Genomic DNA, 23,675 nt, shown 5'->3' on the forward strand with positions numbered 1-23,675 from the left:
GAAATGTCACACATCTCTTCATATGCTTATTTGCCATCTGTTCATGTATTTGGCCCATTTTTAATGAATTTGTTCATTTTCTTATCGTTGAGTTTTAAGAGTTCTTTGTGCATTTTGGGTAACAGTCCTTTACTACTAGTTATTTATCTTGCAAGTATTTTCTCCCAGGTTGTGACCTGTCTTCTCATTATCTTGGCAGTGCCTTTTGCAGCGAAGTTTTAAATTTTAATGAAGTCCAGTTTGTGTTTTTTTCTTTCATGAATCATGCTTTTGGTATTGTATCTAGAAAGTCATCACCAAACCTAAGGTCATTTATATTTTCTTCCATTTTATCCTGTAAAAATAGTGGCTGTAATTATCCTGTAAAAAATAATTTTATGGTTTTGTGTTTTACATTTAGGTCTTTGATCCATTTTGAATAAATTTTCATGAAGGGTGTAGGGTTTCTGTTTAAATTCATTTCTTTTTTTTCTTTTTTTTTTTTTGACGGAGTCTCGCTCTGTCGCCCAGGCTGGAGTGCAGTGGCATGATTTCAGCTCACTTCAAGCTCCGCCTCCCAGGTTCACGCCATTCTCCTGCCTCAGCCTCCCCAGCAGCTGGGACTACAGGCGCATGCCGCCATGCCTGGCTAATTTTGTATTTTCAGTGGAGATGGGGTTTCACTGTGTCAGCCAGGATGGTCTTGATCTCCTGACCTTGTGATCTGCCCACCTCGGCCTCCCAAAGTGCTGGGATTACAGGCGTGAGCCAACGCACCTGGCCCTAAATTAATTTTTTTTTTTTGCCATGAAGATTTACAATTATGCTTGCACCATTTGTTGAAAAGGTGTTTTCTTTTTTTTTTCTTTGAGGCAGGGTCTCACTCTGTTGCCCAAGCTGCAGTGCAGTGGCACAATCATGGCTCATTGCAACCTCAACCTCCTGGGCTCAAATGATCCTCCCACTTCAGCTTCCCAAGTATCTGGGACTACAGGTGCATGCCACCATGCTCGGGTATTTTTATTGTTTTATTTTTTTAATTTTATATAGAGATAAGGTTTCACCATGTTATCCAGGCTGGTCTTAAACTCCTGGGTTCAAGTGATCCTCCCTCCTGGGCCTCTCAAAGTGCTGGGATTACAAGCAAGAAAAGACTATCTTTGTTCCATTTATTCCCTTTGCTCCTTTGTCAAATATCTGCAGCCTGTATTTATGTGAATCTACTTCTGGGCTCTCTGTTCTGTTTCATTGATTTATTTGCCTACATTTTCACAATACCACACTGTAGCTGGGACTACAGGCGCATGCCACCACACGCAGTTAAGTTTTTTGTATTTTTTGTGGAGATGGGGTTTTACCATGTTGCACAGGTTGTGCCACAATTTTTATCACCCCCTTTTTTTATTACTGTCTTGATTGCTGTAGTTACAATAGGAAGCCCTAATGTCAGGTAGTGGCAGTGCTCTGAATCAATATTTCATTGAATATTCTGAGAATCAGTTTGTTGATATCCAAAAAATAACTTTCTGGGATGGCAACTGGAGTATATTTAAGCTATAGATCAATTAGGGCAAAACTAACATCTTAACAATATTAAGTTTTCTCATAATGAACATGGAATATCTCTCTAGTTCCTCTTTGATTTCTTTTCGTAGTTTTGGGGTTCTTTTTTCACATTGATCTTCCCCCCCATACTTTTGTTATATTTACACGTAAGTCTTCATTATTTTGAGTGCTAATATAAAAGGTGTTGTGGTTTCAATTTCAAATTTAACTTGTTCATTATTGGTATAGAGGAAAGTAATTGACTTATATATATTAACCTTGTATCCTGAAACCTCACAATAATCACTTCCTAGGTTTAGCCTTTTTGATTTTGTTGATCCTTTCAGATTTTCTACATAGACAATCATATTTCATGAACAAAGACAGCTTTATTTCTTGCTTCCCAATCAACATAATTTTGTTTCCTTTTCTTGTCTTATTGCATTAGCTAGGGCTTTCAGTATAATGCTGAAAAGCAATGGTGAGAGTGACATCCTTGCCTTGTTCCTAATCTTAGCAGGAAAGCTCTGAATTTCTCACCATTAAGTATGAGGTTAGTTTTATCCCATTGAGGAAGTTTTCTTCTATTCCTAGTTTTCTGGGAATTTTTATCATGAATGGCTATTAGATTTTGTCAGTTTTCTTCTGTATCTATTGATGTGATCATATAATTTATATTTTTAATCTGTTGTTGTGGATTAAATAAATTAATTTTTTGAATGTTGAATCAGCCTTGCAGACCTGAGATAAATCCCACTGGTCAAGGCATTTAATTCTTTTTATACATTATTGGATTCAATCTGTCCATATTTTGTTGAAGATTCCTCCATCTATGTTCCTGGAGGAAACAAAAAAAGAAAATGCCTTTTTTTGTTTTTTTGTTTCAATGCCTTTATCTGATTTTGGTTTTAGGGTAATGCTGGCCTCATGAAATGAGTTAGGAAGTGTACTCTCTACTTCTATCTCCTGGAAGAGATTGTACAGAATTCTTATAATTTCTTTTTAAATGTACAGTTCACCAGTTCACTCAACTGCTTCTGGTGCTTCCCTCTGTCTTGGAAGATTATTTATTATTCATTTAATTTATCTAATAGATATAAGCCTACTCAGATTTTTTGCTTAATGTCTTAGAAAGTTATTAACTATTGACTCCACTTATTTAATAGATACAAGCCTACTCAAAGTTTTTTATTTCTTCTTATGTAAATTTTGACAGATTTTTTCTTTAAAGAAATTGATCCATTTCATCAAGGTTATCAAGTTTGTGGGTGGGCATAGAGTTGTTTATAACATTCCTTTATTAACTTTTTGATGTCTATAAGATATGCACTGATGTCCCCTCTTTCATCTGATATTAGTACTTTTTGTCTTCTCTCAGACATTTTGGCATTTGGGCCACCAAAATTTCTGATGAGAAATCTGCTGATAACCTTATTGAGGATTCCTTACATGTGAGAAATTGGTTCTGTTTGTCTTTAAAATTCTCTTTGTCCTTGTCTTTGGGAAGTTTGATTATAATGTGTCTCAGTTATTATTCGCTGTGAGTTCATTCTACTTGGAGTTCATTTAACATCTTAGATCTTAATATTAATGCCTTTCATTAAATTTGGGAATTTGGGGCCATTATTTTTTCAGATTTTCTCTGTGCTCTTTTTGTGTGTAGGTCCACTTGATGGTGTCCCAGTTATCCCTTAGTCTCTGTTTACTTTTCTTCAATATTTTCTTTCTGTTTTTCAGATTTGATAATTTACATTGTCTTATCTTCAAGTTTGCTGATTCTTTCTTCTGTCTGTTCAAAACTGCCTTTGAATCTCTCTAGTAATTTTTTCGTTTTAGTTATTGTACTTTTCATCTACAGAATCTATTTTTGGTGTTGTGTCAGATTGCTTAACTCTATATTGCTATTTCTATTTTGTTTGTACATTGTTTTCTTGACTTTTTCCATTTCTCCCTTCAGCTCTTTGAACATCTTTAAGACAGCTCTTTTAAAGTCTTTGTCTGGCAGATCCACCATCAAGATTTTCTCAGAAACAGTTTCTTATGGTTTGTTTTTTCTTTAGAATGAGTCGTACTTTTTCATTTATTTTTATGCCTTCTGATTGTTTTGTTGAAAAGCGGACATGTGAATGTAATTGTGTGGTAACTCTGGAAATCCAATACTACCTTTTACTCAAGATTTGGTTTTTTTATTCTTTATTTTTTATACATATTTTTATTATACTTTAAGTTCTAGGGTACATGTGCACAACGTGCAGGTTTGTTACATATGTATACATGTGCCATGTTGGTGTGCTGCACCTACTTTTTTATTTTTATTTTTTGATTGTTGTAAGTTGCCTCTGTGTTCATGATCAGCCTGAAGAGTAAGCTAAAGGTCTTCTCAGGTCTTTTAAAAGCCTGTTTATTTTTTCTTCCACATCCAAAGAGTATGAATTTGTTCTACTAATTGTGGTTCAGTGAGTTCTTAGCATCACAGACCAGTAAAAGTCAATTATGTGTTACTGCTTCTCCCTCTCCCAATGTCATCCCCTATTTTCACTAACCATTCTAACAGTCTTCTTTGCTAAATTATTCTCCTTTTTCAGGTTTCTAAAACTTACACTACCCCAGGGATTAGCTCTTAGATTTCTCCTCTTCCCTATATATACTTATTTGTGGAATGATCTCTTCCAGTTAAATGACTTAAGGATAAACAATAGGATAAACATTTCTTAATTCATAACTCTGATAAACATTAATTATTTTCAGAAAAAAAGAGTAAAGTAAAGCCCCCTATGACCAAGCACATCCCTCTACATATCCAATTAATTCTCTTCATAGTAGCTGGAATCATTTTTAAAAAGTAATTCAGGCCACGGAAAAACAGAAATCCTTATGAGCATTAGCACTGCAACATTGCATGGTCAGCATTAATTGGAAATGACATCTATTTTTGACAACAATACAGCAACACAGGCCAGATTTATCTTCCCATATGGAACAGCTGAAAAAAACAACAAAATATAAGACACAATGGCTCTCAAGACAGTGTTCTACAAAGGACATTGATTCTGACAGATGATAGACAAATAAAGTGAGGCCTACAATTATCCCATCTCGCTGCCTGGAGAAAGTTTCCAGGGCATGGCATAGTGAGGGAAAACCCAGGCAGTGATTAGCAAGTTCCCTCAGCTGAGAAGATAATTCTGGGAGTGTGACAAAACCAAGGAGGCTAGATGTCACAGAGCTCAGTACCAGAGGGACAGTATGGCTGAGTGAGGGAGCTCCAGAGATCTGCAGGAGATCTTCAAATATTCAGCTGAGTATTGATCATCACATATATGTGAAGAAACTACCTAAAGGAATCACTCAAAAGGATTAGTAGACACATTGTCTAGATATCACACAAAGCCAGGAATAGTGTCTGCCGTTAATCACCTGAATGGGTAATCTTATAATTCGCAAGGAATCAGCTAAAGTATTAAGGAAGTTTTTCCTAGTAATGGAGTCAAATGATCCAAGAATAAATGCTACCCTGATATGGCCTAACAAATAAAAGCGAAACCTAAAAGCATTAAACTGCTTTCAACCAACAACAAGATCCCAGAACAAAGCTCAACAACATTTTTAGGAATAGAAAAATATCTAATATCCAACTAGGTAAAATTCACATTGTTTGGTGTCAAATAAATAATTACTAGGTATGCAAAGAAGTAGGAAATATGTCCTATGACCCATACTGAGAAGGAAAATCAATCATTCAAAACTTATATATAAATGACACAGATAATAGAATTAATATATGATTAGTTATTAATCATATAATTATATTATTAATATATAAACTTAGAGATATGAAAGAGATCAAAAGAGCCTAACCAAACTTCTAAAGATGAAATCTACAATGTATAAGGTTAAAAATGTACTGAATGGTAGCAACAGTACGATTAGATGTGCAGGGAAAATAATCAGTGAACTTGAAGACATAGTGCAAACATTTAAAGTGAAACACAGAAAAAAGATGGAAAAAAGAACATCAGTGAACTAGAGGCTAACTCTAAGCAGCCAATTATATATGTAATCAGAATCCTTAGTGAAGAAAAGAGAGGAGGTAAAGAAAATTATTTTTCAAATTTGATGATAATTATAAATACATTGATACAAGACAGTCAATTAACTCTAAGTAGAAAAACATGAAGAAAATATACCAAGGCATATCATAATTAAATTTTCTCAACCTAATAATAAAGAGAAAATGTTTAAACATCCAGAGGACAAAAGACACATTATGTACAGAGGAGCAAAACTAATATTGTCAGCAGACTTCTCATTGGAAACAATGCAAGCTAGAAAACAGTGGAGCAACAGTTTTACAGTAACAAAAGAAACAAAAGAATCTTTCAACTATACTTTTACCCAGTAAAAATGTCTTTTAAATATTAAGCAAAATAAAGGCATACTCAGACATACAAAAGCTGAAAGAATTCACCCCCAGCAGACTTACACTATAAGAAATGTTAAAGAAGCCGGATGCGGTGGCTCCCGCCTGTAATCCCAGCAATTTGGGATGCCGAGGTGGGTGGATCATCTGAGGTCAGGAGTTCAAGACCAGCCTGGCCAACATGGTGAAGCCCCGTCTCTACTAAAAATATAAAAATTAGCCAGGCATGGTGGCAGATGCCTGTAATCCCAGCTACTCGGGAGGCTGAGGCAGGAGAATCACTTGAACCTGGGAGGCAGAGGTTGCAGTGAACCAAGATCACACCATTGCACTCTAGCCTGGGTGACAGAGCAAGACTCCATTTCTCTCTCTCTCTCTCTCTGTATGTGTGTATATATATATATATATATATATATATATATATATATATATATACACGTGTATATATATATATACACGTGTATATATATATACACACACACACACACACAGACACATACACACACACACGCACACATATTATATATATATGAAAGTCTTCCAAGCAGAAGGAAAATAATGCGAGATGGAAATCTGGATCTATACAAAATAATAAAAAGCACTGGAAATGGTTACTATTTTTAAGGGAAAAAAAAAACCCAAAACTTCAATCTAGCCTTCTTTTTTTTTAATTTTATTATTATTATACTTTAAGTTTTAGGGTACATGTGCACAATGTGCAGGTTTGTTACATATGTATACATGTGCCATGTTGGTGTGCTGCACTCATTAACTTGTCATTTAGCATTAGGTATATCTCCTAATGCTATCCCTCCCCGCTCCCCCTACCCCACAACAGTCCCCGGAGTGTGATAGCCTTCATTTTCTGTTCAAGAATTAGCTCATAATCAATGATGGCCATAACTGTAAAATCTAAAACTATACAACTTCTAAAAGAAAACATAGAAGAAATTTGTAACCTTGGGTTGGGCAGAGATTTATCAGGTGAAATACAAAATGAATAATTCATAAAAGAAAACAATAATAAGCAACTGGCTTTTATCAAAATAAAGAACTGATCTTCAAATGACACTAGTAAAAGTACTAAAACACTGAGCAAAAATGTGTGCAAATCACATATCATATCAAGAAATTTTGTCCAGAATATACAAAGAAATTTTGATGCTCAATAATAAGAGAATAAACAACTCAATTTAAAGATGTACAAATATTTGAACAAACTCATCACCAAGAAGACATACAGATGTCTACTAAGCACATGCAAAGATGTTCAACATAATTAGCTAGGAGGAAAATGCAAATTAAATCCACAGTGAGATACCACTATATACCCAGTGAAATGGCTAAAATTAGAACAAACAAGCAAAGAAACAAAAAGACTTGACCATTACAAGTGTTGGCAAGATAGGGAGAAATAGAAATCCTCACATACTGTTGGTGAGAATGTATAAAGAGACAGCTACTTTGGAAAATAGTTTGGCAACTTCTTAAAAAGTTAAAGGTACATCTGCCATATGATTTAGTCATTCTATTCTTAGGTATTTATCCAGTGAAAATTAAAGCATATGTGCAGACAGACTTGCACACAAATTATCCCAGTAGCCTTCTTTCTAACAGCAAAATACTGGGGAAAAAAACTAAATACCGGTGAAATTTCTATACGATGACATCTTATTTATCAACAAAAATGAATGAACGGCTGACACACAAAACAGCATCAATGATTCTCGAAATAATCATGCTGAGTAAAAAAGCTAGACCAAAAAAAGAAAAAAAAGCTCCTGCTTTTTGTAATGTTCCAATTCTAAGGTAGGATGGTCAAATTCTAGAACAGTCAAACTAATCTACGATGATAGAAAGCAGATCAATAATTGCCTGGGGATAAAAGCAGTGGGGAGGGATAGGGTAGAGGAATTGTATAGGGCATGGAGGAAAGTTTCTAGGGGAAGAATATGCTCATTATATTGATTGCAGTAATGATTTCACAGGCTTATACATATGTTAAAATGTATCGTATTATACACTTTAAACATTCGCAATTTGCAGTATGTCAGTTGCACTTCAATAAAATTATAAAAATAAAACAAATCACTCTTCTGCTCATTGCCCTCTAATGTCTTTCCATTTGTTTTAGAAGAACATTTAATGTTCCTACTATGAGTTCAAAGGTTCTACATGATCTGGCTCCTTGCTAGTGTTTTATACTTTTTATTATTAACTTCATCTAGTCTTCCTTTTGACACCGAACATAAGCATGTTCCTGGTCAAAAACACTTGTTATTCTCTCAACTGCATAAACCTTCCCTACGGATATTTACATCTTGCTTCCTCATTTTCTTTAATTCTCTAATCCAGTGTTACCTTCTCAGAGAAAGCTTCCCTGGCCACACTGTTGACAGTAGTCCTCACACACTTAGGACATGTCACTCTTCATCCTATTACCCCAATCCACCTATCTCCCTGGATCTTATCACCACCTGGTATTACATTAAATAATTATTTATTTATTATTCATTTCCCCATTAGAATGTGAGAGCCATGGTTATGGAGAACTTGTCTGTTTTGTCCAGTGCTATAACTCTATCAACTGGAACAGTTTCTAACATATTATACAGTCAATAAAGATTTATTGACACAAATATCTAGACACAGGCTGTCTTAGTTGGTTTGTGTTGCTATAACAGAGTAGCTGAGACTAGGTAATTCATAAAGAACAAAAACTTATTTCTCACAGTTAAAGAGGCTAGGAAGTCCAAGATTAATGTGCTGACATCTGGTGAGGACATGTTTGCTATGTCCTGACATGTGTGAAGTTTCTTGTATAAGAACCTTAATTCCATTAATAAGGGAGAAGCCCTTATGGCCTAATCACCTCTTATAGACCGCACCCCTTAATACTATCAGATTGGCAAAACCTGAATTTTAGGGGGCCACATTCAAACCACAGCAAGTGCTAAACCCTTGCTTCTTGTACACTATTATACTGGAACACTCATTGTTACCAATTTAAATTTTTCCTTCTATTTTTTCTTGAGATATGTTGATATATGTGTTAGGATTGGAGTCTTAAACTATTGGTACAGTGGTCCCCCCTTCATAGGGGATACATTACAAGATAGTGGATGCCTTTAACTACAGATAGTACCAAATCCTATATACACCATGTTTTCTCCTATATGTACATATGATAAAGTTCAATTTATAAGTTAGGCACAATAAAATATGAATAACAGTAATAATAAAATAGAACAATTATAACAATATGCTGTTCACAATTTCATGGATAGAAGATTTATTCTTACCGTAAATCTTAGCAACCTTAGCATATATATGTTTTAAATTTTCCTATTAAGTAGAAAACTTTCATCATTTTACTTTAAGGAATTACTTTATGAATTCTTTTTGGGATATCCTAATTGCCAGTATCATTACTCTTATTTCTGGAGACATTATTAAGTAAAATAGGGGTTACTTGAACACAAGCACTGCATACTATATCAGTTAATCTGATAGCCAAGAAAGCTACTAAGTGACTAAGGGGCAGGTGGCATTGACAGCATGCATACACTAGGAAAAGTGATGATTCACATCCCAGGTGGGATGGAGCAGGACATTGAGATTTCATGTCGCTACTCAAAACTGTATGCAATTTAAAACTTATACATTGTTTAAATTCTAGAATTTTCCATTTAATATTTTTGGATCTCAGTTGACTTCTGGTAGCTGAAACTGTAGGAACTGAAACTGCAGATAAGGGTTGGGTGGGGGGGGGGACTATTGTATTATCTCTAACCTAACTTTTTCCAGAGTGCAAAGAATCATGCTGAAATGGGTAGTGATACCTAAATTCAGTAGAATATTATGATGCCTAAGACATATAGGGCTAAAGTCCTAAGATAAAGCAACTTAGAGCTGTAAAATAAATGTAGATGACATGAAATTGTATCACGTCTAAGAAATATAATAAAAAATTATAAAGTATTCACCAAGTATGTTTTTATTCTATTACAGTCAACAGATAGTTATTTTACACCTGTGAGTCAGAAATGCTTTTTCATTAAAAATAAAGTCTTGCATAAAATATACTGTCTTCATACTTTTTAAATTCCATATCATTTTTTAGTTTTCTCCCTTAATACTCCAAAGTGAAAAGCCTAATAAATTTATGATGGCCCTAACACATTCAGGATCTCTGAGGGAAACTTCTACCATCAACTAAGATTGATGGAGCAAAGCCAGAAATGTGTAAGGGAAAGCTCATTTGTTTGCCAGGCCTCAAAGTAGAGACCTGGTGTCTAAGTGTCTTTTAATTAGGTAACGCCTGTGGCTATTCTCATTTATTTAAGTCACTTATCAGCGCTCGCAGCTTTTTTCTTTCTTTTTTTTTTTTTTTTTTCACATATTAGTTTATTTATTTATTTTTTTTAATTTTTTTTTTTTTTATTATACTCTAAGTTTTAGGGTACATGTGCACATTGTGCAGGTTAGTTACATATGTATACATGTGCCATGCTGGTGCGCTGCACCCACTAACGTGTCATCTAGCATTAGGTATATCTCCCAATGCTATCCCTCCCCCCTCCCCCGACCCCACCACAGTCCCCAGAGTGTGATATTCCCCTTCCTGTGTCCATGTGATCTCATTGTTCAATTCCCACCTATGAGTGAGAATATGCGGTGTTTGGTTTTTTGTTCTTGCGACAGTTTACTGAGAATGATGGTTTCCAATTTCATCCATGTCCCTACAAAGGACATGAACTCATCATTTTTTATGGCTGCATAGTATTCCATGGTGTATATGTGCCACATTTTCTTAATCCAGTCTATCATTGTTGGACATTTGGGTTTGCAGCCAAAAAACACATGAAGAAATGCTCATCATCACTGGCCATCAGAGAAATGCAAATCAAAACCACTATGAGATATCATCTCACACCAGTTAGAATGGCAATCATTAAAAAGTCAGGAAACAACAGGTGCTGGAGAGGATGTGGAGAAATAGGAACACTTTTACACTGTTGGTGGGACTGTAAACTAGTTCAACCATTGTGGAAGTCAGTGTGGCGATTCCTCAGGGATCTAGAACTAGAAATACCATTTGACCCAGCCATCCCATTACTGGGTATATACCCAAAGGACTATAAATCATGCTGCTCTAAAGACACATGCACACGTATGTTTATTGCGGCACTATTCGCAGCTTTTTTCAATTGCTTCCGGAAGCAGTTTAGGCTTCCTGGTGGTCTGGATGTTGGATGCGTTGAAGAGGACATGGTAGGGTTATATGCTCTTCTGAAATCGGCAGGCTGCCTTGTAGATCTGGTCCTAACAAACATATTTCAGTTCTTATTCTTGTTGCTTCAGAAGGGGCTAGAGGAGAGTCTTTTCAAATTGGCTTCAATTAGTGTGGGCAACAGAAAAATGTAGAGGACACATTTTAATCTGATTTCATGCACTTGGAGTAAACATCGGTTTTTCTCAGTTTATGGTGGAAGTTTCCACCAAAGAACCAAAACCTTCTTTGGGGCCATTTGAACTACTTGGCAGAACAAAGATGAGTGCTTTTGGGTTCGGGCTTCTGTTTCCCTCATGCCTTATTAAATCCCAATACATATATTTAGCAACAGAGAGCTGCATATTTTGTAAGAATATTTTCACTAACTATTATTGCCTCTTAGGTGATATGACATGTGAGAGCCTACATTTTTACGTAGTAAAACTTCTACAAATTGAGGAGTAATGTATTATCAGCCACCTGGTACATTCATATTAAATACCAAAATAGGTCCACAATGTCTTTATGTGTCCAATAAAGGGCTATTTTTCTTATTCAAAATGATGTTTTAAGGAATGCTTTATGCTGGGTGATTAACATGTTCCCAAATAGCAGTTCTCACTAATGCAAAGCAGAACAGAATTTCATTCTTCTGTTCAGGATTTAGGCTGAGTAAAAATACTTCACTGTCATAAAGACAAAAGCCACAGCTGGATAGATGGCAGAAAAGCACTCATTAAACTTTAAAACCTAAAGCATATTTTAAACTACAAACTACTTCAAACATCATAAATATCCTAAATTCTTAGGCCAGCAACTAACCTCTACCTCCTTCCTACATTGTTTTTAAATGAATGGCAGCTGCTGCCCATACCCAAGACTGAAAAGAAGGGGAAAAAATTCCTTAAGTCGATGGTTAAAGTTTCAGAAGATTTTATTCTTTTTGTCAAGTTCTCTTCAAAAGTTAGTGATATTTGTCTTATGAAAGAAAGTATTCTGTCATGGAAATCAAATACCTCAATACAATACTCAACAAATATAATTTTATAGCATTTTGGCTTTCATTTATTTACTCTAAAAATTTTACACATGGAATGCATATTTGTTCATATCTTTGAAATATTTCACAACCTTTATCAACACATTGAGTGGTGAAGGGATTTTATACTCTTCCTCCCAAGTGGTATATTACAGAGACTCCTCATAGAGTTGCCACTGAATCAGACTATCCCAGTGAAATACAGGATCACTGGACAAGTCACAAAAGGACATAACAAACTAGTTCAATGTCATTATTCAACAAGTTATTATTCACAAATTATGAAGGCTGATTATTATATACTAGAAAATTCAGTATGATGAAAACGACATCCCCGCTTTTGACATTTATGTCAGGAAGAATGGCAAAATTGTATGTGTGGTAAGTGTTATAGAACAGTAATTTCAAAGTATGCCATATCTTTAATAAAAGAACGCTAAACTGAAATGTCATGAACTCAAAAATACCCTCCTCTTACAAGTTTTAACGAACACTCTTCAGTATTTAGCAACTAAAATAGTATAAGAGATAATCATGTGAAATTCGTTAACATGACATTCAGAATAAATTCTGAGGAGGAAATAATTTTCTCTTAGGAAAAATTTTCAGTTATATTTAATCACTCAAACTTCTTTTATGTGCTAATTTTCAGAAATAATCTTTACTTCACCCTTTTATGTTAAGATCAAGGTACATTTTATTTAAAATACAATAACAATCATCACTTTAGAACTTCACAAAATCTTGTCCTATTGTAAAAAAGCCTATTTGTTTCCTCATTACACACCTTACAGTGGAGTATAATTCTCTTTGAGAGGGCATTCCACCCATAAGTCAAAATACTTGAATGATGGTAAAAGAAATGATAAACTGTGGTCTATTTTTTTTCTTGTGGCAACCACTTTTTGCCATTTACTTACCAATATGTAAATTACCTGATCATTATAGGCACACTGCATGATTGAACTAAACTTGGTTCACAGTTATTTAAAATGAGAGACTTGATTATGCCAGCTGAGAGAGCAGAGTTTTAGCTCTTGATAAGACAGATGGCACTGTAAAACTACCTATCTCCATCCCCTGTCCTCCTAATCCCCCAACCTCCCACTAACTTACTGCTCTAACCTGACCTCACTCAGTGTAGGACACATGCTATTCACCATTATATGTTTTAGTCCCAGTACCGGTCCTAGCTTATATCATCCTTTCTGTTGTCAAGAACTGTGAACATAGTGAGATTTTACCTTACTTGCAAGCTATCAAGTTAGTCTGCCACAGTTTCATGATGTGGGCAGAGGACACAAGAATCATGGGTCAGAGATAAGGTCAGTTTATTACTTATAGCAATAGCAGTACCCAGAGTGTCACATTGTGCTGGTTCTTCATGGCCCAATCACCACTGAGCAATAGGGTACAGGGCCAGGTGATGTCTATACATTCAGTGGGTTGTGTAACTGGGGAGAAACCTTGAGTTTAGGGAACCAAGTTAATTATACTGGCCAGTAAGTATGCCTGCCCTTTACTGTATACTATGTCTCCCTTCGAAGGATCTTCACTATATAAACATTCTTACAAAGATAGTATGGAACACAAACAGCACTTATGTTAGCAAGATCTGCAGGAATGTAAAAGATTCATGGAGAACTATATTCCAACATAATTTCATGTTAAGGTAATGCGTTTGAGTTGTTTTTACTGAGTAGGTGAATAGTAGAATGAAGAAACTCTAGAGCTCATAGTTCACAAAAGATACATAGTGGCAACCACAGGAAAGGACATTTTTATGTCATCTGCTGCAAAGAAGAGCCCTTGCCATTTTTAAGAATAACATCTGTCAATATGGACCTCTCCTTTCTTCCACTTACACTCTTCAGGTTGCATGTTGTCCTTCTGTGATACCTTCTCTATAGTCTCCTTATTGTCTATGTGGCTCTTTTGTCTACTTAGTCTTTGTAGCACACAGTGAAATGTAAAAATACATAGCTTTTGGGGTCAGAAAACTGGGTTCTAAACTGAATTCTTTTCTACTAGTTATGCAACCTTGGGTAAATAATTTAAAATCACTATCAATTTTCTTATATGTAAAATTAGGGGGCTAAATTTGGAACACTGTTCTGTTACCCCAATTATGTTTTTTACTTGTGCTTTTATGGTTTAATTGATTACGAGTGTTATTGATGTGTTAGTACCTGTATGTGTACAGGCCGGGTGTGGTGGCTCAAGCCTGTAATCCCAGCACTTTGGGAGGCCGAGGTGGGTGGATTACTTGAGGTCAGGAGTTCAAGACAACTCTGGCCAACATGATGAAACCCCATCTCTACCAAAAATACAAATTAGCCGGGCGTGGTGGCACATGCCTGTAATCCCAGCTACTCAGGAAGCTGAGGCAGGAGAATTGCTTGAGCCCAGGAGATGGAGGTTGCAGTGAGCAGAGATTGTGCCACTGCATTGTAGCCTGGGTGACAGAGTGAGACTCTGTCTCAAAAAAAAAAAAAAAATTTGGAAACCTAATATCAGCGTGTTTAAGCAACTGCGTGTTTGCCCAAGATCACAAAGCTGGTACTATATATTGTTTTCCTTCCCGTGTCACAGACAATTCCCTGTGGAATTCTGTCTCACAGGATATCTGGCTTGAAATAGAGAGGATAAGGAGTGTGTTGTCTTTTTTATGTTATCTCTGTTCTCTCTTCTTCAAGCTTCTCTGATATCTCCAGCGAAGTCACAGGGTTCACTAGCCATTGTGAACTGAGGCAATATTATTTCTAATTATTTCTAACACATTTTAATGTTTTCCATTATGATAATATGTATATTTATATAAAACATACAATTTGTTATTTTAATTTCCTTCACAAAGTTGTGCAACCTCTACTAATTTGTTTAGTCTCATCATCTGAAGTTTTTATTTTTGTGTATGCCTTACAATGTGTAGAATAAAGTAGTACAGTAGCATATGCATTTTTAAATGATCTTTTAAAATATAGGCACATTGGGGGGTGTGTCTGCAATTTTTTTTATGATGGTGCATAACCAAAAATCATGGGGACCACTGGCTTAGGGAAATACTCCATGATCTTCTACCACATCCACCAGTTGATCTGTGTTCATCGATTGTGCTCACTTTCTTCTAATTCCTCTTCCTCAGACTGAATGATGTCAAACAAATATGGCAGTCAATTATTGGCTAGTACTAAAAGGGATTAACTCTTCTTTCCCTTTCTCTCCCTCCCTTTCCCTCCCTCCCTCTCTCCCTCCCTCCCTCCCTCTCTCCCTCCCTCGCTACCTCCTTCCTTCCTCCCTTCCTTCCTTCCTTCCTTCCTTCCTTCCTTCCTTTTCTTTCTTTTCTCTTTCTTTCACTCTTCTTTTCTCCTTTCCTTTCCTTTTCTTTTTTCTTGAGACAGGGTATCCTTCCATCACCCAGGCTAGAATTCAGTAGCATGATCACGGCTTACTGCACCCTCAGCTTCTTGGGCTCAAGCCATCCTCTTGCCTCAGCCTCCTGAGTAGCTTGGACCACAGGTGCACACCACCATGCCTGCCTAAATTTTTTTATTTTTTGTAGAGACAGGGTCTCATTATGTTGTCCAGGTTAGTCTCGAACTCCTAGGCTGGAATGATCCTCCCACCCGGACCTCCCAGTGTGTTGGAATTATGGGTACGCCCAGTACTGGAATACCAAAGATTCTGAATCTAAGATGGGAGATCTAAGATAGCACCTACAAATCTGTATTTTAAACTATCACCCAATTGATTTTGTTAGGGGCCAAATATGGACTGGTTTTTAATTAAAGAATATGTAGATGAGACAAGATACCATTTTAAAGTTGGGAATAATTTCTTCATATTATCTCTGGAATTGAATTCTTTGAATGGTTGAAACTAAAAAATTGACATTTCAATAGTCGAACTATTGCTATTTAAGTACAGCTTTAAGCACTTGTTTCTGCAAAGCTTATCTGCTCTTAATTATGAAAAATTAAAGCATTTGCTTTAAACAATATCCTTGATTCCAATTTTAGAAGAGCTACTGGGGGAAGAGGACAGAGGTGAAGAACAACCTTGAATCTGGAAGGAAACAACAGTAAAGTCTGGAATGTTGACTAACACTGGGCATTCACTAGAGGGTCAAAAAAAAGATTATAAAATTATCTGATGTGGCACTAAAACTGCCAGGACAGTTCCACTGCTTTTACTCATTCCCAGCTCTCATATACTCATTACAGATAAGCAGATGAGAAGAGTGGTATGAGGCAGAATTTCCAAGCATCTAAAGATTGTTTTCAGATTAAACCCAACGAACAGGGGCAACCCAATAAGATGCTCTATGAGAGAAATGTAACGTTGAGCGTTTTACCACCGTACCTGATTATGGTAAAGTTAATGTATAAAGTGGACACTAATTACCCACACCTAATTCGCTTCTCTGTTTAAGCAAATTCAATTAAATTAACAAGCAATGGAAAGATGATACACCATCTTTTTTTTTTTTTTTTTTTGAGACAGAGTCTTGCTCTGTCGCCCAGGCTGGAGGGCAGTGGCGCGATCTGGGCTCACTGCAAGCTCCGCTTCCCAGGTTCACGCCATTCTCCTGCCTCAGCCTCCAGAGTAGCTGGGACTACAGGCGCCCGCCACCATGCCTGGCCAATTTTTTTGAGTTTTTAGTAGAGATGGGGTTTCACCGTGTTAGCTAGGAGATACACCATCTTTTGCTATGTAGAGCTAAATAATTTGCTGAAATTAGTAATCTTTCTTAGATTTTAAAAAATAAATACCCAGAAATTGGCACTGAAATAGACATTTTGTATCACAACTTATACTCTCAATTGTATGACAACACAGTTTGGCTACAGCTCCAGCACTGGTTAGGTGTTTGCAATAAATCACCTCGGTTTTAGTGAGAAGTGAGAAGTACTTCAAATGTAGTTGTTCCATAAAATATTAATCTAAATTTGGAAATGGACTGTTATTTTCAAATCAGTTTCTATTCCATTAGCAGGTGCTGGAGCAGTTTTCAAAGTGACTGCATTCAACTTACTCACAGGGACAGTGATCAATTTATTACTGTGTGCATTTATTTCGCCAAGACAAGGTTTCCAAGGACCCACTGGTTGAATTTTCACGGCATTTTATCTGCATTTTCGAACCAATTTTTTTTTAGGGGAAAGCCTCAGGGTTAGGTTTTTCATATTTATTTCCATATTTTAGGTGCAGAGTTGTATTAGAAGTCCACACATCCCATGAAAGGCATGGAAAAATAGAAAGTTATTCATCAGATTGCAATGGACCTCTTATATAGTAAGTATCTCCTCATGTCCTTGTCTAGGTATCTGAGTCAGCACCATGTATTAGAATAAGTCTGTATTTTTGAGTCAATCGGAATTTGCAGTTACTTAAGCCCTCTGATCTTCAGTGACTTGTCTATAAAATGGAAAAACATACTTAATTTGTTGGTAAATAGTGTGTAAGTGTCAAATAAATATAAGTGTCCAGAATAATACCTGTCAAATAAGGAATATTTACAGAGCACTTTTTTCTTAATCGTGCATTGCTTACATTATAAATTAGAAGAGAGTGAAGTCAGATTTTACAAGAAAATGTTACACCTTTTCCTTGTAAAACAAATAATTATCCTTTTACATATGTGTGTTTATATCCTTTAATGTATGTGCCTCATTTCACAGGATTGAGTCAAGCTGTAAAAATATTTTAAATACAGTAAAATTGAAAATAAAATAGAGCCAGAAAATATATTGACTAAAGATATAAAAGAGAGAAATATAATATAGAAATTATGAAAAATAGACCTTAAGTCCATATACATTTTTCCCTACTAAATAGGCCTAAAAATTAGGCTCTGTGCTCCCAAGGGACCAAAAGCAAAAGGGAAAACAAAACCAACACCAAACTGTAGCTTACTTATTTTAAACAGCTTAGCAATCTCACGCCAGAAGTGAAACTTTTCATAAGAGAGTGCCAAGAAGTGTTGCATGCTCGTTTTTTCTTTTTCTTTCTTTCTTTTTTTTTTTTTTTGAGACAGAGTTTCACTCTGTCACCCAGGCTGTAGTGCAGTGGCACGATCTCAGCTCATGGCAACCTCTGTTTTTTGGGTTCAAGCCATTCTCTGCTTCAGCCCCCCGAGTAGCTGGGATTACAGGTGCCCACCACCACACCTGGCTATTTTTTTTTGTATTTTTAGTAGAGACAGGGTTTCATCATCTTGTCCATGCTGATCTTGAACTCCTGACCTTGTGATCCACCGGCCTCAGCCTCCCAAAGTGCTGGGATTACAGGCATGAGCCACCATGCCCAGCCACCATGCTTGTTTTTTAAGGCACGTGTAGTAGGTAACATACTCGACCCCGCTGATACAAATACACAAGGGAAGAGCTCTGAATGAGGTCATCATGCTGGAGGAGCGCCAGGGACACACTCCAGCTAGCAGGTAAGTATACTGAGTCCTGAGAAGCAGTTCTCAAATAGCTCAATATGGATCCCTCTTATCTCCTCACCTTTTACCCTCAAACAATAAAACATCTAATCAAAATTTACATTCTCCAATTGCTCATCCAACAACATGCCATGAGATAACTCCCAGGAGCTAGCAATGTAAAAGCAAGTGAGCATCCTGCATGGATGGCACTGTTGCTTTCCTCCGAGGAGTTTAGGAATTTCTTTTCACCTTACAGAAGCTGGGTTGTTTTGAAGCTGGTCAGTTTAGTAATGCATAGTCTTATAGTTTAAAAAAAAAAAGAGACTTTATTTTTTAGAGCCGTTTTAGGTTCATGGTAAAATTGAAGGGAAAGCACACAGATTTCCCATATTCCTCTTACTGCCACAAGTGCATAGCCTCCCCCATTATCAACACCCCCCACCAGAGTGGTACATTTGTTACATCAGTGAACGTACACTGACACATCACCCAAAGTCTATATTTTACATTAGAGTTTATTCTTGGTGTTGTTCATTCTATGGGTTTGGACAAATGTATAATGACATAGATCCATCTTTACAGTATAATACACAGCAGTTTCACTGCCCTAAAAATTCTCTGTGCTCTGCCTATTCTTTCTTCCCTTCCTCTTAATCCCTGGACACCATGGCTCTTTTCACTTTTATCTAGTTTTGCGTTTTCTAGAATAGGTGTAGTTGAACTCAAACAGTACATAGCCTTTTCAGATTGTCTTTTTTATTCAGTCACGTGCATTTAAGTTTCCTCTATGTCTTTTTATGGCTTGAGAGCTCATTCTTTTTGGCGCTGAATAATATTCCATTGTCTGTAGGTACCACAGCTTATCTATCCATTCACCCAGCGGGGACATTTGGTGGCTTCTAAGTTTTGACAATTATGCATAAAGCTGACACAAACATTTATGTGCAGGGTTTTTTTTTGTGGAAATAAGTTTTCAGCTCATGCTGGTAAATACCAACGAATGGATTTCTGGATGGTGTGATAACAGTTATATTTAGTTTTGTAACAAACAGCCAAACTGACTTCCATGATGGCTGTACCATTTTGTATTCCTGCAGTATCCTGTTCGCACACTCTGGTTTTTTGCTCTCCCTTTTCCCATGCCTCCATTTTCTTTTTCATGATTTTTTTGGAAACACATTCTGATAATATATCAGCATGTAATATTTTGACTGAGGCTTTGTTTTCTTAGAAATATGGGCTAATGTGACTGACATCTGTATCGTGCTACCCATAAGCTGATGGAATCACTTCACCTCATGAGCCATCATCCTCATCATTGTGTATCAGCAGTGAGGGAATTTTGGGGATTGAGGCTCCTTTCTCAGAGGCTAAAAACTAAATGAAAGCGCAAATCCGGAGACGTAAGTTGACCACTGAAGCTTGTCTTTGATCTTGAGCACATTTTCAAAGCTGGGTGAACTTGATCAGCAGTTTCTAGTACAACACTTTGCTGAGGTAAAGGGAACAAAGTTCAGGGTCTGCCAATGGTACCGTCGAATAGGAGAGAAATGTATAATCTGCAACGTTAAGGGGCTGCACTGTCAGTGTCATGACAAAAAGGAAATGTTTCATGTCCTTTCACCGTACTACAAAGAAAATTGTCTTTCACAAACCATGACACTTAGATGAGGGGAAAAATATTCTCCTTTGAGAATTTGTAACTATTGCCAGCCTGAATCTACATTAGCTGACTGGAACAAAATACCTCAAGCTGAGAATTTATTGTAAAGTGATCCCAAGCTGTAGTGACCCGAGGTACTGGCAGAAACAAATATAAATTTTCTCTGATGGAACTCCCGTTTAGGTCTCAAAATAATTCCCACAGGTACGTTCCAAGATATATAAGCTCACAGTCAAAACTCGAAATTCACAAGAAAACAAGCTATCATGTAAGACCCAGTGAATTTGCTGACAGTTGAATTTGACATGCAAAGCCTTTGAAATCTGGTAGTGTGAGACAAGCCATATGCTCAAAATGTTTAATAACATAAATGACGGGATTGAATATATAAGTCAAGAAGGAAAAAATATCAGGCAGATTCCTAGAAAAATGGAACAAGAGGACCAAATTGAACTTCTAGAGCTAAAATAACATAACAATATAACAACTGAAATTTAAAAACTCACATAACAATAAATTAGATGCCACTGATAAGAGAATTAGTTAGCTGAAAGTTATACAGTGAAAGAATTTACAAAGAATACAGAAAACAGAAAGAAATATAACAAAGACATTTAGAGACCTGGACAACTGCTGGGTCTGTCCCGTGGACCCTGGCCAACGGATGAAATGAGTACTCAGACACAGGTATGCGGTATAAGAGCAGCTAGGTGACTGTCTGACTCTAGTGGCCAGAGAGCAGCCCCGAGAAGCTGGAGCTGCTTGCTTTTATTCAGTGCAGGTACAATGCCAAAAACCTGGAGCCCACACAACCTGTAGGTAATTAACATTTATTGTTCCCCTTTCAGGGAAAGTCATGTGCCTGGATGGTCAAAGGTCATTTCCTGGTCAACATAAGTAAACAAGCCTGTTAAGGATACATTCCCCCACATTCCCTTGTACTTACTCCTTGCCCTCTGCCTCAGGGTTATAGAACAGCTACCTTCAGCTATTCTCCCCCTGGGGCTCTACAGAACCTTCTGATCTTTCAGAAGATTTGCGTCCTTTCCCTATAGTTTTTCCCACCACTCTGTTCAATCCCCCACAGATGACTGAGTGAGAACATCTAACAAATATCTGACTAGACAAGAGAATGAGGTAAAGGCTACATTTAACTATTCTAGGTCCTTTGTATTTTTATATATGTTTTAGAATCAGCTTGTTAATTTCTACCAAAAAAAAAAAAAAAAAGATCCCACAAGCTCGCTGGCATAATTAAAGGTATTGCATTGAAACTACAGTCATACTGGGGATAGCTGGTATTGATTCACTGTTCCTCAAGTGATCAGGCTGCATGCCAACAGGGAAGAGCTTACTGCATAATTCTGAGTTGCTGAGAACAGACAATGTGCCTGCCAGGCTCAAGTAAGACAGCATTTATGTATGGAAAGAACAGAGAGAAAGGTTACTAGATCTGGCCCATTGCCAGGTGATCCATCCCTCAGGGCCAGGGATCGCCTTTCAAGCCTATGTGAGCAGTGTGGCTGCACACATCCCATTTCCTGCTATCACAAAAAGATCTAGTTCCCTCCCTGGTGGAAACAGATATAGCAGCAGGGTGGCACAGCCCCCCCGCCCATTGACACATATGCTTGAGCAGAACAAAGAAGTACATATTAAGACTAAAATAACAAATACATCACCAAATAAAGAGAGATGCTCCACATAGGTTGTGAGGGCTCTTCATCTCTTTGTAAGGAAATGCTTCAGGCTTGAAGCCATTCATGTGAACGTGTAAGGGTCAAGAGCTACATATGATTGCCTTTTCTAACAGGTGTTGGTAATATTCCTTTTCTTTAGTCTATAAATGTGGTGTATCTTTTTATATTTATTTAAATCTTTTTTTCCCTGTAGTTGCTCATTGTTTTCAGTATACTGATCTTGTATCTTTTTATTAAACTTATTCCTGAGAATTTTATATTTTAATGCTATTGTAAGTGGTATTGATTTCACGATTTCATTTTAAGTTATCTTTTTCTGAGTATATAAACATAATTAATTTTTTGTACACTAACATCATTACTGACCTTTCTAAATTCACTTACTGTTTCTAGTATTGCTTTTTTTTTCTGTTTTTTGTTTTTGTTTTTGTTTTTGTTTTTTTATTCCTTGGAATACCCTTGCAAACAATCAGGTCATCTAAAAATAAAATCAGGTTTGCTTCTTGTTTTCCAATTTTTATGGCTTTTCTTTTTGTACTGCCTTCTTGCCCTGGAAATCCAGTAAAATATTGAATATTAATAGAAGTGATGAGGGTGATCATCTTTGCCTTTTCTATACCTTATGCAGTTTGCCTTTACCACCATGCACAACATCAGCTGTAACTATTTGTAGATGGTCTTTATCAAATTGGGGGAATATCTCTTTTCTATTCCTAGTTTGCTGATAATTTTTGTCATAAATAGCTATCAAATTTTATTAAACACATTTTCTGAATCTATTGAGTTGATAATATGATGTGGTTAGACAGCTTCTAAGAGCCTATTTTGTGGAATCAGCCAAGCAGAAGCACTTAACAGTGGCTATCTCAGTAAGATGTTCAAATATTAGGCCAGGTGTGGTGACTCACACCTGTGATCCCCACTTCGGGAGGCCGAGGCAGGCAGATCATTTGAAGTGAGGAGTTTGAGACCAGCCAGACTGACATTGTGAAACCCTATCTTTGTTAAAAAAAAAATACAAAAAAATTAGCCGGGCATGGTGGTGCATGCCTGTAGTCCCAGCTAATCAGGAGGCTGAGGCAGAAGAATTACTTGAACGTGGGAGGCAAAGGTTGCAGTGAGCTGAGATCGTGCCATTGCACTCCAGCCTGGGTGACAGAGTGAGACTGTCTTGAAAAAAAAAAAGATCTCTTCCTCTTTCTCTATTTACTTCTTCTTGTCCATCACTCCTCATTTTTGTGAATGAATGGTCTCAGCCTATTCTGCTCCCTAGGAATCCTAGGCCAAAACACTTTGTAACCATCAGAGACACTGAATCAATAAACATATTTGACAGGGCCAGGCGTGGTGGCTCATGCCTGTAATCCCAGCAATTTGGGAGGCCGAGGCGGGCGGATCATGAGGTCAGGAGATCGAGACCATCCTGGCTAACACGGTGAAACCCCATCTCTAATAAAAATACAAAAAATTAGCCAGGTGTGGTGGCAGGCAGCTGTAGTCCCAGCTACTCAGGAGGCTGGGGCAGGAGAATCGCTTGAACCCAGGAGGCGGAGGTTGCAGTGAGCTGAGATCGCGCCACTGCACTCCAGCCTGGGTGACAGAGCAAGACTCTGTCTCAAAAAAT

General features: G+C 36.9%; 1 protein-coding gene across 6 annotated transcripts in view, besides 1 other annotated feature; it reads right to left on the bottom strand.

The window, feature by feature from the left end:
• The window catches only part of MARCHF1 (membrane associated ring-CH-type finger 1), an 859,722-nt gene that overhangs the window by 202,545 nt on the left and 633,502 nt on the right, over positions 1-23,675 (bottom strand). The window lies entirely within an intron of this gene.
• Positions 10,774-10,965: a silencer, noted in NCBI's record as "fragment chr4:164658768-164658959 (GRCh37/hg19 assembly coordinates)". NCBI's record gives its function as "represses an EF-1alpha promoter that drives an FKBP-Casp9 reporter gene in an ReSE screen in phorbol 12-myristate 13-acetate-treated (for megakaryocytic differentiation) K562 erythroleukemia cells {active_cell/tissue: K562(+PMA)}" and the evidence as "EXISTENCE:reporter gene assay evidence [ECO:0000049][PMID:32094911]".

The sequence above is a fragment of the Homo sapiens genome, chromosome 4, assembly GCF_000001405.40.
Source record: "Homo sapiens chromosome 4, GRCh38.p14 Primary Assembly".
Taxonomy (NCBI): Eukaryota; Metazoa; Chordata; class Mammalia; order Primates; family Hominidae; genus Homo; species Homo sapiens.